Source organism: Homo sapiens, chromosome 6 (assembly GCF_000001405.40).
Source record: "Homo sapiens chromosome 6, GRCh38.p14 Primary Assembly".
NCBI classification, from domain to species: domain Eukaryota; kingdom Metazoa; phylum Chordata; class Mammalia; order Primates; family Hominidae; genus Homo; species Homo sapiens.
In genome coordinates, this window is record NC_000006.12 from 37714743 (window position 1) to 37729189 (window position 14447).

The 14447-nt window shown below is 47.7% G+C and overlaps 1 annotated feature.

The window, feature by feature from the left end:
- Positions 13317-13817: an enhancer, noted in NCBI's record as "H3K4me1 hESC enhancer chr6:37695835-37696335 (GRCh37/hg19 assembly coordinates)". NCBI's record gives its function as "activates a minimal SCP1, AML or CMV promoter by ChIP-STARR-seq in primed H9 embryonic stem cells {active_cell/tissue: H9 hESC(primed)}" and the evidence as "EXISTENCE:reporter gene assay evidence [ECO:0000049][PMID:30033119]".

The window sequence follows — 14447 nt, forward strand, 5'->3', positions numbered from 1 at the left end:
TCTATATCCAAGTATTTCAAAATCTCAGTGCTCACAATCTATTAAATGAAATATATTAGAATCTGTTCCTGTTACTACGGCTGCATAAGAAGTGCCAAAACTTAGTGGTATAAAACTAACATTTATTAAGCTCCTAGATTTTGTGGATCAGGAAGTCAGATCCTGAATGGTTTGTCTCTGCCCTGTAATGCTGAGGCCTCAGCTGGAAGGTTCAGAGACTGGGGACTGGAAGCATCTGTAGGCTTACTCATTCACATGTCTGGTAGTTGACTGGAGGCCTCGGTCCCTCTCCATGTGTCTCTCCACGAGGACTGGTCTGCACTTCCTCACAGCATGATGGATGGATTCCAAGGGCAAGTTTCCTAAGAAAGAGACACCCATAAGAAGCTGGATTGCCTTTCATGACCTAGCATCCGAAGTCATGCAGTACCACTTCTGTCACACTCTATTCATCAAAGCAGTCACAAAGTGCTGCCCAGATGCAAGGGGAGGGGAAGTGGACTCTGCCTCTTGGTGGGGAATGTAAAGATCTGAAAGAGCAAGCAAGATGACACGCTGCCGTTACCATTTTTAGAAAATACAGTCTTCCACAGATTCTACACCTTGACACATAAACTTTTATAACAGCCAGGAAGGTCAGGTTCAGACTCAGAATCCTCAGAACTGTGCTACAAAAGGGTGGTGCAGGGAATCTGCCTCCAGCCCCTGTCCCTTCTCTTTCTTCCCTTTGGCCCTGTCCTGCCCTGCAAGGGGCCCCTGGGCTTGTGTGTAGACATTCCTGCCTACCGGCCCAAGTTCTCTTCACATCCCCCACCAACAAACACCCCTGGGCTGCCTCTCAGGCTTTAGGGTACACCACTGCAGTGTGATCTACCTTCGGAAGACAGACCCAGGAAAGAGGCCTGTACAGGCCCTGGAAGTGGGTATGGGGCCATTTGGACAGGAAATCTGGGATCCTGGTTCTCAAAGCACGATGTAGAAGTAGAGGTGTGGGCTCCGGGTAGGCATGTCCCTTGGTCCTGCAGATTCCTGACCCTGACGGGAGGAGTGTGGCTGGAGGAGGACCACAGTAGGACTCTATAAATGCATGGGCCAAAGCAGGGACTCCTCTTGCCCAGGTCTAAGGGGTGGTACTCCCTAGAACTTCTGCCATCACAGCCTCTGGAAGTTGGGTGCCTCTGCTGCTACACTCACCAAAATAGAGGCCATGCTTCTTCAGAGACTTCTCTGGATACATTTATTTGGGGCAGCCTAAGTTACATACCTGGTATAAGGGAGCCCAGGAAAGCGAGCTTCTGGCTGCTACTTAGGGGAGAGGCAGACACATAAGATATGGAGGTTCCAGATAAAGAAAGAAGGCTTAAAAGCCCCAGGCAGCCAAGAAGAATGACAAATGTCTAGTACAGTCCACCTCTTGGCTGCCCAACATCAATATATACCCTTCTTCCTTCTCAGACTTACCCACCACGATGACCACCATGAAAACCTAACATGATGTAATTACTCTTCACAATGAAAACTTACCCTTTTCCCCAAAGGGGGACAACCCATGTTCATATCAGTAAATACACCAGGATAACCAGGGAGGTCCATTCTCCTTCTAATTCTGTCATGATTCCATTTCAAAATTCTATAATCTATGCCATAAATTGCAAATATAACTATCAAAAATATCCTTATATAAAAATAATGGGGAATGAAGATGGGAGAAATAAGGAAGTTTGGTTAAAAGAGATAAATATATCCGTAAGAAAAGCAAGGAGTACACTATGGGTGGATACTATAATTCTTGTTTCTGCAACTGATCACAGGCTATAGTTGGTATTTGTCATTTCATCCCATGTCCCACTTGTCTTCATGAGTACCTCAGCTGATCAGAGGTCTTTATCTGGTGGGGTCATCTTAACCTTCTTTCTGGAGAAGGCTGAGCCTTTGATGGTGTTGCCTGTTTGGGGTTGGTATGGTCTTCCATTAACTTTTTCTTTTGAGACAGGAGTTTTGCTCTTGTTGCCGAGGCTGGAGTGCAATGGCACAGTCTCAGCTCACTGCAACCTCTGCCTTCCGGGTTCAAGCAATTCTCCTACTTCAGCCTCCCAAGTAGCTGGGATTACAGGCATGTGCCACCATGCCCGGCTAATTTTTTGTATTTTTAGTAGAGATGGGGTTTCTCCATGTTGGTCAGGCTGGTCTTGAGCTCCTGACCTCAGGTCTTGACTAACTTCTTGACTGCCTTGGCCTCCCAAAGTGCTGGGATTACAGGCATGAGCCACTGCACCCAGCCTCCATTAACTTTTACCACCTGACCTAGAACTACTTGTCCTACAAGTCCTATTCTTTCTTGCCCCCATTTTTTCTCATTCATAATTAGGGTTAGTCATCCCAACCGACACTATGATCTCCCTTTTTGCATGACAAACTAAAAGGGCCTGGTGACAATCTCACCTTCCAGTTCAATGGAACCATTATTGTCTTCCTGTGGAAGCATTCCTACCTTGGATATTAGTCTTGTAAACCATGAAAGCTTGGAGTCATGTGGATGGGAAGGAGAAGACTTGCAAATGGGTCTTTAAGTAAAAGAGTGAGAGAGATCTGGGCTGGAGACAAGAATTTGGATTTCATCGGTGCATTGAAACCAAGATCATGGATGCAGTGCCCCAGAGAACATGAAGATGAAGACAAGAAGAGAGCTAGAGACAGTCCCTGGGGAACATTGCCTTGTAAGAGTCCACCTGGGGAGGTGGTACCCTGGGGAACCAGTGAATTGGGGTGGTTTTTCTACCAGAGCCCAACTCTCTCTTTAGTGACCTCTCCAACCCTGGGCAGCAGCATCCCATCCTGTCTAGAACAGGCATGTCAAGAGTTCACACTCTTTGGATGAAGAACACCTCCCTTCAGTCATGCTATAGACCGCGTGTTACAATGCAGCATTTCTGAGGAAAATCCCCAGAAAAGTTAGTCAAGCAATCTGAAAAATGGGAAAAAGTATTATAATTCTTTTGTGAGAATTAGAGCTTCATAATCAACATAGAGATGTTATTTGTTCAAAGGAATCAACTGATGTCAAGTTGAAAGCAAGAGCCAGAAACCCTGATACATGGAGTTGAAGGTTAAGGTCAACATCTCTGGGAGCTAGGACAGGAGTTCATAGGCAAGAATGTCACCATCTAATCAGTCAGTCTTCCTGACTGGGAGCTGTTGCCCTCATATCAGTGCATGTTTGTGGCCCTGTCTGCTGCCAATGGTGAGTCATTCTTACAAATAAAATAAATATTAATAAGTTATAAGCGCAGTATACTTAATACCAATCCTGTGAGCAATGTTTCAAGAAATAAGTTTTGGAAGCAAAATAAGCCCTTAAGTTGGCAATTGTAATACATGTAGTACTTACTGTTAACCTTGCTAGGAGATCTGAATATTACATTCTTCAAATACTGTGCAGTCACGGTCACTGCCCTTTTCCAGCATTTGAATATTTGCTATGGCAGAAATGCAAAGAGAAGAAGATAGGAATGTGGTAGAATTCTCAGACACAAAATCGGAAACTGATCTAAAGTCTGAACGAATAAAAGCAATATCTATTTCAGTGACAAAAAGAAAATCAGGGAAAGCAAAGTACTTTCATTGTTAAAAGATAAATAAATGAGCTTATTTGAAGCATATAACATATAGCATGCTCTAACACCCAAATTGAAGATGCGTTTAGACACATGCTTAATGATTCAACCCATATCAACACACAATATTTTTTTCTATATCTGGGATATTTGTTACAAAACAAAGATCAAGAGTGTCAGGCTAAAATCTTAGCTGGGTATGGTGGCCCACGCCTGCAGTCCCAGCTACTCAGGAGGCTGAGGCAAGAGGATCACTTGAGCCAGGGAATTCGAGACGGCAGTGAGCTATGATTGTGCCACTGCACCCCAGCCTGGGCAACAAAGTGAGACCTTGTCTCTAAAAATAAAATAAAATAAAAACTTTTTAAAAAGGCTGTTAGGTTAATTATTGCTTTGTGTGTTTTAAACTTTTCATTTTTAGGCTGGGTGAGGTGGCTCATGCCCGTAATCCCAGCACTTTGGGAAGCCGAGGGAGGAAGGTTGCTTGAGTTCAGGAGTTTGAGACCAGCCTGGGCAACATGGTGAAACCCCGTCTCTAGAAAACATACAAAAATTAGCTGGGCATGATCGTGCATACCGGTAGTCCCAGCTACTGGGGAGGGTGAGGTGGGAGGATGGCTTGAGCCCAGGATGGGGAGGTTGCAGTAAGCAGAGATCATGCCACCACACTCCCTCTGGGTGACAGAGAGAGATCCTGTCTCAAAAAAAAAAAGTAAAATATAATTTTCATTTAAGATGAAAAAATTTTAATATTAAATATTTGTGTTAGCTTTCAATTTTTTAATGATTTTTATTTGGCATTAATTTTGTGTTAATGTTCCCTTATTTTAATGTTTTCGCTTATGAATTATCTACATCAGGTAGGGAGCAAATTTGCATGTTATTAAAATATATAATCTTGTCAAAATATATTGGTTCATAGAAATAATAATTCATGCATTTAATATATCTTTTTCATAAACAAAAGACCTTTGAAACTTTTAACATAACCCTATCACAGAAAAATGATTTACTATTTATTATTTACAGTCACTCATTATTTACAATCATTTTGTTTATTTATTTATTTATTTTTTCAAGACACAGTTTCATTCTGTCACCCAGGCCGGAAAGCAAGTGGCACAATCATGGCTTACTGTAGCCTCAAACTCCTGGGCTCAAGTGATCCTCCTGCCTCAGCCTCTCAAGTAGGTGGGACCACAGGTATGCACCAACACACCTGGGTAATTTAAAAATTTTTTAGAGACAACATCTTGCTGTTGCTCAGGCTGATCTCAAACTCCCGGGCTCAAGTGATCCTCTCACCTTGACCTCTGAAAGCACTGAGATTACAGGCGTGAGCTGCCATGTTTGGCCCACAGTCATTAATAATGATAATAATCATCATTATTTAAAATGTGTAAAATGGGCCGGGTGAGGTGATTCATATCTGTAATCCCAGCACTTTGGGAGGCCGAGGTGGGTGGATCACTGGAGGTCAGGAGTTTGAGACCAGCCTGGCCAACAGAAACCCCTTCTCTACTAAAAATACAAAATTAGCTGGGTATGGTGGTGTGCACCTGTAGTCCCAGCTACTTGAGAGGCTGAGGCAGGAGAATTGCTTGAACCTGGGAGGTGGAGGCTGCAGTGAGCCAAGATCGCACGACTGCACTCCAGCCTGGGCAACAGAGTGAGACTCCATCTCAAAGATAAAATAAAATAAGAGAAAATAAAATAAAATGTGTAAAATAAAGTGTTATGAGAAATACAGAATAACATATGATTTCAAAAGTTCCCAAGAATTTTTAGTGATTCCAGTTTCTCATTCCCCAAACCCCCAAATTAGTCTCAGAAATTTGGAAACACTGTGCAGACTTGTGGAATCCCCTGTGGTTGGGACCACTGGATTCACCCAGGCACAGGGGCACTGGATAGATAGGGAGGGCAGTTCTGCCAGACACCAGCCCAGGCAACCTCGGTTGGAGGATGCCAAGCCCACCAGCAGCCACCCCGTCAGGGTGCGACCAGGTGCCTAGCACTCCAGTACCCTTGCTAAACTTGAAGCAAACAGAACGCTGGGTGTCTGCCACCTCCTTCCCTGGGAGAAGAGAAGAGTAGCATTTACCTTCCTTCCAATTTTGTCCTTTTCAAATGTCAACAGGGAAGGGAGGGGGGCTCTGTTCCTCTCTCAGCTCCACACCAGTCTCCCCAGAAGAATCTCTCACTCCATGTCTCCCTGTCTGCAAAGATGGGATGGGGGAGGTGTGTGGGCAGGGACACTTCCTGGGATCCCTAGAAGATCAGGGTGGCTCAGGGGCAAGGAAGTCTGCCCCAGTTGAGGTGAAGAGAGCTGGGGAACCTCTCTTTTGGGCTTCCTGGAACCCACATAATGCAGAAAGTGATAGAAGTCACAGAATGAAGAGACCATCACAGGAGACGTGGGGCCACCTGGTTCTACGCCTCAGGGATAGATGGCTCGATTATCTATGCCACATGTAAAGCACCCCAAAACGTAATGGTTTAAAACAGTAAGTGTTTTGTTTGATCAGAATTCTGTGATTCAAGAATTCTGACAGGTTACAGTAGGGACAGATCATCTTGGATCCATGTGACGTCTCCTGGAGCTGGAAGTTCATGATTTCTTCATTCACAGATGGGTGGTTGGAATGGCTCTACTGGGTCATGTATCTGGGTTCCCTGGTTCTCCTCCATGCAGTCTCAGGTCTTCTTCCCCTCCACTGGGATTTTCCATGGGTAGTCTTTCCTAAAAAATAGCAGAGCATCTTAGGTCGTGGTTCAGAGCTCACCAGAGTTCTAAAGTGAAAGTTACCAGGCAATGGGGTGCTGGTATCTGACTTTACAACAAAGAAAATAAAAAGGAAGGAAAGATCCCTGATGTGTAGTATTTGCCAGTCTCTGTGGTGTAAATATTTCTGCCAGTACTAATTTAAAGTTACCAACTTGATGTTAATATGCTCATAAAATTCGAGAAAATTTAACTATCAGCTCTTACAAGCTGGTACAAGCCAGCTTCATCACACCAGGGCTGCCAGGCTTCTTAAGGCTTAGGCCAGGAATTGACACAGCATCACCTCTGCCATGTCCTATTGGTTAAGGCAGCACTCAAGGCCAGCCCAGAATCAACGTGAGAGAGGCGTACACAAGGGCATGAATGCTGGAAGGTGTGCTTCATTGGGGGCCACCAAAGTAACAGATTACCAGGGACAATAACATTAATCATGGGTACAGTTCCAGTGGCCCACCAGGTATACCAGATGTTTTACCGGGCACTTTGCAAATATTACCCTTTTCAGCCTGGTGAAGTAGGTGTTATTAACCCCATTTTAGTGGTGAGTTCGCTGAGCTCAGGAAGGGTGGCAGAGTGGAAGCTTTGGATCCTATTTGCCTCCGGTAGCGAGGCGTCCCCTCTCCAGGAGGGTAGGAGCACTGTAGTTTTCAGGTGGGATTAGGGAACTTGAGTGTATCCAGGAGCACAGGAAATCAGTTCTTACTAAATTAGTGCTCGTCAAATCTGGGAGTGTGTTGGGGAATGACATGAATGAACACGAAGAGGAAGAGCAAGAAGAATAAGAACTGAATCACCAAAATCCTGGAACATTATTATTGTTATTAATACTTAACATTGAGAACTTACTATGTGCTAGAGACTCTGGTAGAAATTTTACATACATTATCTCATTTAATCCTTATAGTCCTATGTGGGAGGCTTTTTATTTATTTATTTATTTATTTATTTATTTATTTTTGAGACAGGGTGGCCTTGCTCTGTTGTGCAGGCTGGAGTGCAGTAGCATGATCACAGCTTACCACAGCCTCAACCTCCCGAGCTTAAGTGATCCTCCCTCCTCCCATGCTGGGACTACACATGCATGCCACCATGCCCGGCTAATTTTTGTATTTTTTGTAGAGACGGGGTTTCACCATTTTTCCCAAGCTGGTCTCAAATGTCTGGCCTCAAACAATCTGCCTGCCTTGGCCTCCCAAGGTGTTGGGATTGCAGATGCGAGCCGCTGTGTCCAGCCAGGCTCTGCTATTATCTATTTCTCCTAGGAGGAGACAGGCTCAGAGAAGTTACCTGGCTCACCCAGGGTCACACAGCCAGAAAGTGGCAGAGTCAGGGTTTGAACCCAAATCTACCCAATGCTGAAGTTTAAGCTTCTTTTGAGTGCTAGAACTAGGGCAAGAAGTTGTTCTGGGGCAGGGTTCCAACCCTGGGCATGAGGCTAGAACTGCGTTTCAACGCATTGTAATCCTGTGTGTTTTATTTTATTTTATGCATTTGAAATATCATACTGAGAAGGGGTTCTGAGACTTCCCTAGGCTTCCAAAAGGTCCATGACTCAAACAAAGTTAAGAATCACGTTCAAAAGCAAGTAAGAGGCATTTGGTGTCCAGAGAAGTGGACTGAGAGAAGACGCAGAGCCAGTTTCCATGAGCTCCTCAGTGACACAGATAGGGGAATGGGGATCTATTTCTCATCCTCGAGGCTGGTGCTGCCACCCTAGTACTCCACATCCATGTCGGAGACCTTGAAGCTGACCTGGGCCAAAGGCTCTGATCTGTGGGTGCTGGTCAGCAAGCAGGAAGTTCCAACTTTAGAGACCAGCTGATCCACCTGTAAGCCCACTGGCTGCAGCCTCGGCCCTCACCCTGGCTCTCCGCCCCCTTCTCTGACACGTGTGGGCAGGCTGGGCATCTCCAGGAACCAGGTGCCTGCTGCACCGAGAGGCAATTTATGAACTGTGGGTATTTTGTCTGTTTACTTGAAAGCACAAAAATTTGTCACTCGTGTGGGTAATTTGCTGCTAATTACGAGCTTACAATCTGCGGATAGGAAAATCAGGGCCAACGTGCGCTTCTTGAGGAAAAGGAAAATTACCCCAAGTACTGTGTAATTATACACTTAGCGGGCACAGCGCTCCCAACCCTCACCCTTCCCACAGAGGGCTGACGGTGCAGGGTGAGTTTGCACACATGCCCACCGAGGCTCCCTCTCTGGGGAGGGGAGGGCTGGCTGGCTGCTGAGACCCAGCACCAGTTCCCCTCATCCCTTCCTTCCTCCACCACACAAAGGAGAAGCGAGAAAGGACTTAGGCACTTTCCTTGGAGCTTCCAGTCTGAGTAGGGGGACACAGCCTCTGCCCTCAGGGCTTCCCAACACCGATGGAGAGGGCATAGGCCAAGACCTGAGGAAGGCCGCAGTCTAACACAGGAGACACCATCCCTGCCGGCAGGGGCCCCGCTCTGATTGGAAGGACAGACACTCGGCCTGCAGGAATCCCTGTACTCCAAAGTGCCTGCACTCAGGTCATGCCCTGCCCTCAGGAAGCCCCAGGTCGGTAAGAGATGGTACAGCCCCTGCCCTGGCTTTGGAAGTCCCCAGTGTAATGGGGAAAAACACAGTTCCTGTCTATAGAGGCTTCAACTCTGACCAAGAAGACACACCTCTTGCCCTCAGGAAGCCCTTGGTCTGGTGGGGTAGACTGGGCCCTATAACAGAGTTCCTTTCTATTTGATAGGGAGATGTAGCCCCTGCTTTCTGGTTGTCTCTGAGCTTCTTTCTGTTCGTGTCCATGTAAAATGAACAATGTGACAGTGAGACTCAGAGCCGGTCTATTAATCACCTTCCCAGCTCTGGAAGATGTGTACCCAGCCCCCAGCACCTCCCTGTAAATATCCGCAGTACCCTTTCCTTGCGACCCTCACACCTTGCAGATTCCCTCCAGCCATTCTCGTGTGATGTGTCAGCTGATCTTAGAAGAATCCCTGTCTCTTTCTGTCTTCCTGATCCCCTTTATTTGCTGGCCTAAATCATTCATGACTTGCAATAAAGGCCTTATGGCCCCGCCCAGCCCCCTGCAGAAAATATTATTTAACGGAAAGGTGACAGTTATGTAATTTAGTCTCCGTCTCCATTATTGATGAATTTGATCATGAAATATTTAGGCTCCTCCATGTTCCGCTGCTCAGGGTCTGACAGTATCAGTGTCGCATTCCAGTTTATCCTCATGGAAGATGTGTCCACCAGGAATGCCTGGCCTTACCCACCCAAGGCTGCACCTCGCCTTTCAGCACAAACCCCAGGTCTCCCGAGCTGTCCCCACTCGGGGCTCCACCCAGCACTGGCAACAAGGGTCCTGTGCACTCTGGAAATCTCCCCAGCCACCAGCAAAGTGGCCAGAGTCCATGAAGAGACCTGTGAATTCAATAGTCAGATAGAACAGAGAGAGGGAGGGAGGAAAGCATTGTGTCTTAAGTATAAGTGCTGGCCCAGTGTTAACTCATTTAATTCTCTACCAACCCCATAAGGTAGATATTAGTAGAACCATTTGCATTTGAGGTCATGGAAGCTCAGAGAGGTTGAGACATTTTCCCAAGGTCACTCAGCTAGGCTGTGGGGGAGCCGAAATGGATCACAGAGCTTGCAAGCCACTGTTGTCTCCACTCCACTCTGGTGAAAACACATTCTGCCAGAAGACATGGCTCAGTCAACATTACACATGTGTTCAGTGACTCCCAGTCCAATGCCCTTCCTGTTCTGGATCATCGTTCTTAGCTGGATTCAGGTGGAGTAGGGAAAAGACGGAAGAAAGAGAAGACAGGATTCGTGTCCTCAAAGGATTCCCAGCCTGCTGGGGGAGACAGCATCCCTGGGGAGCTGAGATTACCAGCAGGAAGCCACAGCAATTCTGCTGGCCCAAGTTGGGATGGAGCTGCAATGGGGAAACAGAAGCCTGAGCCTCATTTTCCTACCCCGGAAGCTGGAGGAAAGCAGGTTAGTACTTTCAACAATGGCACAGCCCTCCATTGTGCTGAGGCCTGAAAAGTTACTGACAAAATCTTCTTCCTCCAGACTCTGCAGGCTGACTATATGTTTGTCTGTCTGTCTGTCTCCGGCTGCGGATAATTGATGAGCAGCTCTGGTGCAATGTTTAAATATGCATTAGGCTAATTGCGTGGTAATTAAATAGACAAGACCATTACGGCTGCTCAGGGGCCCATCTGTGTTCTGGTGTCTCCCCGTGCAGCAGACAGGCCTGGGGGTCTCAAGACACTGAGGACCCAGACTGGCAGGGGGATGGACAAGGTGACCCCTCAGAGGGGCTGAAGAGGGCTGGCAAGTGGAGCCTGTAGGCACTGCAGTACGAGGGAGACTTTCCTAACCACAAGTCTCCAGCTATTAAATGAGGGGAGTGAGCTCCCTGTTGTTGGAGTTAAGCAAGCAGATAAACAAGGATCCCTGCAGCATTTTGAGGAAAGAGGTGTGGATAAATTCTGAGATTGCTTCCATTTCCTAGATTCTGGGTTTCTATGATCTAGGTCAAGCCCCTCTCTTTGTTCCTGTCTCACCGCTCCCCCCACCCATGCCCTGCCAAGCAGAGGCATCTTGCCCATGTGGGAGAGTAAGGGAGTGGAGGCCACACAAGCGGCAGGGAGGAGGCCGGAGATCTGATTGCCCCCCACCAAACAAGGATACCCAGTATGTGCTGCAGAGACCCAAGAGATGGGGACCTGCAAGGATAGCCCCAGCCCCTTCCCAGCCTCATTCCTGTCCCTGCAGGAGAGAGGTTTCTGCCAGGGTCTGGGGACAGGCTCGTTTCATCGTCTGGCGCCTCATGTGTAAATATTTCATATCCCCATTGAATATTTTGGGATGATTATGAATTCTTGATGTGATAAGAACCTTGGTATGTATGAAATGCAGTCGGCTGCCACTGGGAGGGAAGGCACAGGGGAAGGCAAATCAGGTAAATCATTACACACCCTGAGCCCAGGCAAACTGGCTGACACCCACATACCAACCGCATGCCAGCACACAACAGCATGTCAGCCACACTCTACCCACATACCACCAACACAACACGCACACGTCATATTCACATGCCACCCACACCAACGGCATGCCACCCATATACCATCCATTTACTCTCTGATCCTGGTAACTGTCATTGTCATCATCAGTGTCATTATCACCATCTCACCCATCCACCTGGCACAAGACCATAAGATGCTGGTCCATGGCCAGCCTCTTACGTGGGGTCAGAAGGACAGGGATCATGATCTTGCATTAACTACAGCACAGAGAGGAGAAGCCACTATCCCTTGGCCACACAGAGACAAAATTACTCATAGGCAGTAAAAACCCTTTATTCGCTTGCATTTAAAAAATCTGTTTCAGGCCAGGCATGGTGGCTCACGCCTGTAATCCCAGCACTTTGGGAGGCCAAGGCAGGCAGATCACTTGAGGCCAGGAGTTTGAGACCAGCCTGGCCAACATGGTGAAACCCCATCTCTCCTAAAAATGCAAAAGTTAGCTGGGCATAGTGGCACATGCTTGTGATCCCAGCTACTAGCAAGGCTGAGATATGAGAATTGCTTGAACCTTGGAGGCTGGGGTTGCAGTGAGCCAAGATCGTGCCACTGCACTCCAGCCTGGGTGACAGAGCAAGACTCAAAAAAAAAAAAAAAATTCTGTTTCAGGCCAGGCACAGTGGCTTACACCGGTAATCCCAGCACTTTGGGAGGCCAAGGTGGGAGGGTCACTTAAGCTGAGGAGTTCGAGACCACCCTGAGGAACATGGTTAAACCCCGTTACCCCGTCTCTACTAGAAATACAAAAATTAGCTGGGCATGGTGGCACGCATCTGTAGTCCCAGCTACTCAGGAGGCTGAGATGGGAGCATCGCTTAAGCCCGGGAGGTTGAGGCAGCAGTGAGCCAAGACTGTGACACTGCATGCCAGCCTGGGCAGCAGACTGAGACCCTGTCTCAAAATAATAAAAAATAAAAAATCTATTTCATTTGGCAATTAAGACATCCATTAGGCCGGGTGTGGTGGCTCATGCCTGTAATCCCAGCACTATGGGAGGCCAAGGTGGGAGGACTGCTTAAACCCAGGAGTTGGAGACCAGCCTGGGCAACATAGCAAGACCTCATCTTTAAAAAAAAAAAAAAGTAAGAAAAAAAATCCATTAAGGGAAGAGGAAGGAGAAAAAGTAGGGTGCAGATGAAACAAGACCGGCCATGTGCTGGTTACTATTGACACTGAGCCCTGGAATATACCAGTCCGTGATAGGATTCTTTTTACTCAGGGATATGTTTCAAATTTTCCATGGTAGAGCTTGTCTGTTTTTGTTTTTGTTTTTGTTTTTTTGAGACAGAATCTTGCTCTGTTGGCCAGGCTGCAGTGCAATGGCATGATCTCAGCTCACTGCAACCTCTGTCTCCCGGGCTCAAGCAATTCTCCTGCCTCAGCCTCCCGAGTAGCTGGGATTACAGTAGTGTGCCACCAAGCCTGGCTAATTTTTGTATTTTTAGTAGAGAGGGGGTTTCACCATGTTGATCAGGCTGGTCTCGAACTCCTGACCTCAGGTAATCTGCCTGCCTCGGCCTCCCAAAGTGCTGGGATTAGAGGCGTGAGCCACCATGCCCAGCTGCTTGTCTGTTTTTTTAAAAATACAGTCTACCTATTGCCAGGGGGCCCCTTCATATGAATTCAAAGGTCTTCCTGTCGGCCTACCCCAGGTGGGGGCTGACCTCGCCAGCCTCCTGCTGTGGGAGCGGAGGGACATGTTTTCCTTGCTTCTCTTCACTTTCCCCTACATAGCTTCTTTTCCCCTTTCCCACCCACCAGGCCACTTCCGCCCCTCCAGGTTTGGGATGAGGGAAAGATGGAGCAAGAAAGGTTTTACTTGCCTGGTACGGTCACACATTCTAGCGAGGCTTTCTGTGGGCTCGGCATGTGGATAACGCTGCCCCATCCTCTCATGGGGGCCTTCACAAGTTCTTTGGAGACAGCCCCTCCCAATGCTTTGCTGAGTGTTCTCGCCTGTCATCAGTCCCGGACATGGGTGTGGCTCTATCCAGCTGTCATTTCATCTGCCTGCAATCTCAGCACCTGCTGGTCCACCCCTTTGGAAAGAATACAAGCCAACCCCAACCAGCCCCCAGATGCTCCATGAGAAATCCTCGGCCAGCAGATCTCACCTTCCACACAGGGAGAGATGAGGCTCGGCTCACCAATACCTCTCTCTTCAGAACCTCCAGCCCCAGAGCCTCCCAACTTCTCTATGGCCTAGAAGTGAATAGTCCAAAGGAGTCCCAGCTCTTGGCACTTTCCTTGCAAGTGCTGCTGGGGTTGTCTCTAACCTCACTTTGGTTGTGGACTAGTTGGCACCTGCTGACTTTGGGACCTCAACTGAGACAGAAATAATGCAATTGAAATTCCTGCTACTCTTGATGTGCATGGATGAGGGAGGCAGAGGAGGAAGGTCAGACAGAAGGAAGAGCGTAGCAAAGGCTGGAGGTGAGAAGTGGAGGAACAAGTTTCCATCTCAGTATGCAGTTCAATGATCTACTGTGCTCAGCACCTAGACCAAAGGAAGAGGGACGTGAGGACAAGGTGGGGAGACTGGGTGCTCTGGGTCTGACCACAGAGGGCCTTTAGTGCTGGGTGAAGGAGTGCAGGTTTTACTAAGGAACCCCATTGCTCTATTGAGGGTGTTCTTAGGTGGACTCCCCAAAAGCAAAGCCTGAGACAGGTACTCACATGATGTGATCACTGAGGAAGAACTCTCAAGAGAAGGGCAGGAAGGAACTCTCAAGAGAAGCAGGGGAGGGCAGGGGAAGGGGCTAAGCAAGGATGTGGTCTCCCGGGGAGTCTGGCTTCAGCCCCATTCCTCAGGGAGCTCTGGAGCAGGAATTCCATCACAGATTCAGCCCTGCTTGAGGCAAGAGAGATAGTCTTGTGTGCCCCATTGGCTGTAGGCCGCCCCCAAGGGGGTGCATAACTTCCAGGAAGCGATGGGTCCCAGGATCCAGGGCAGTTCTCCAA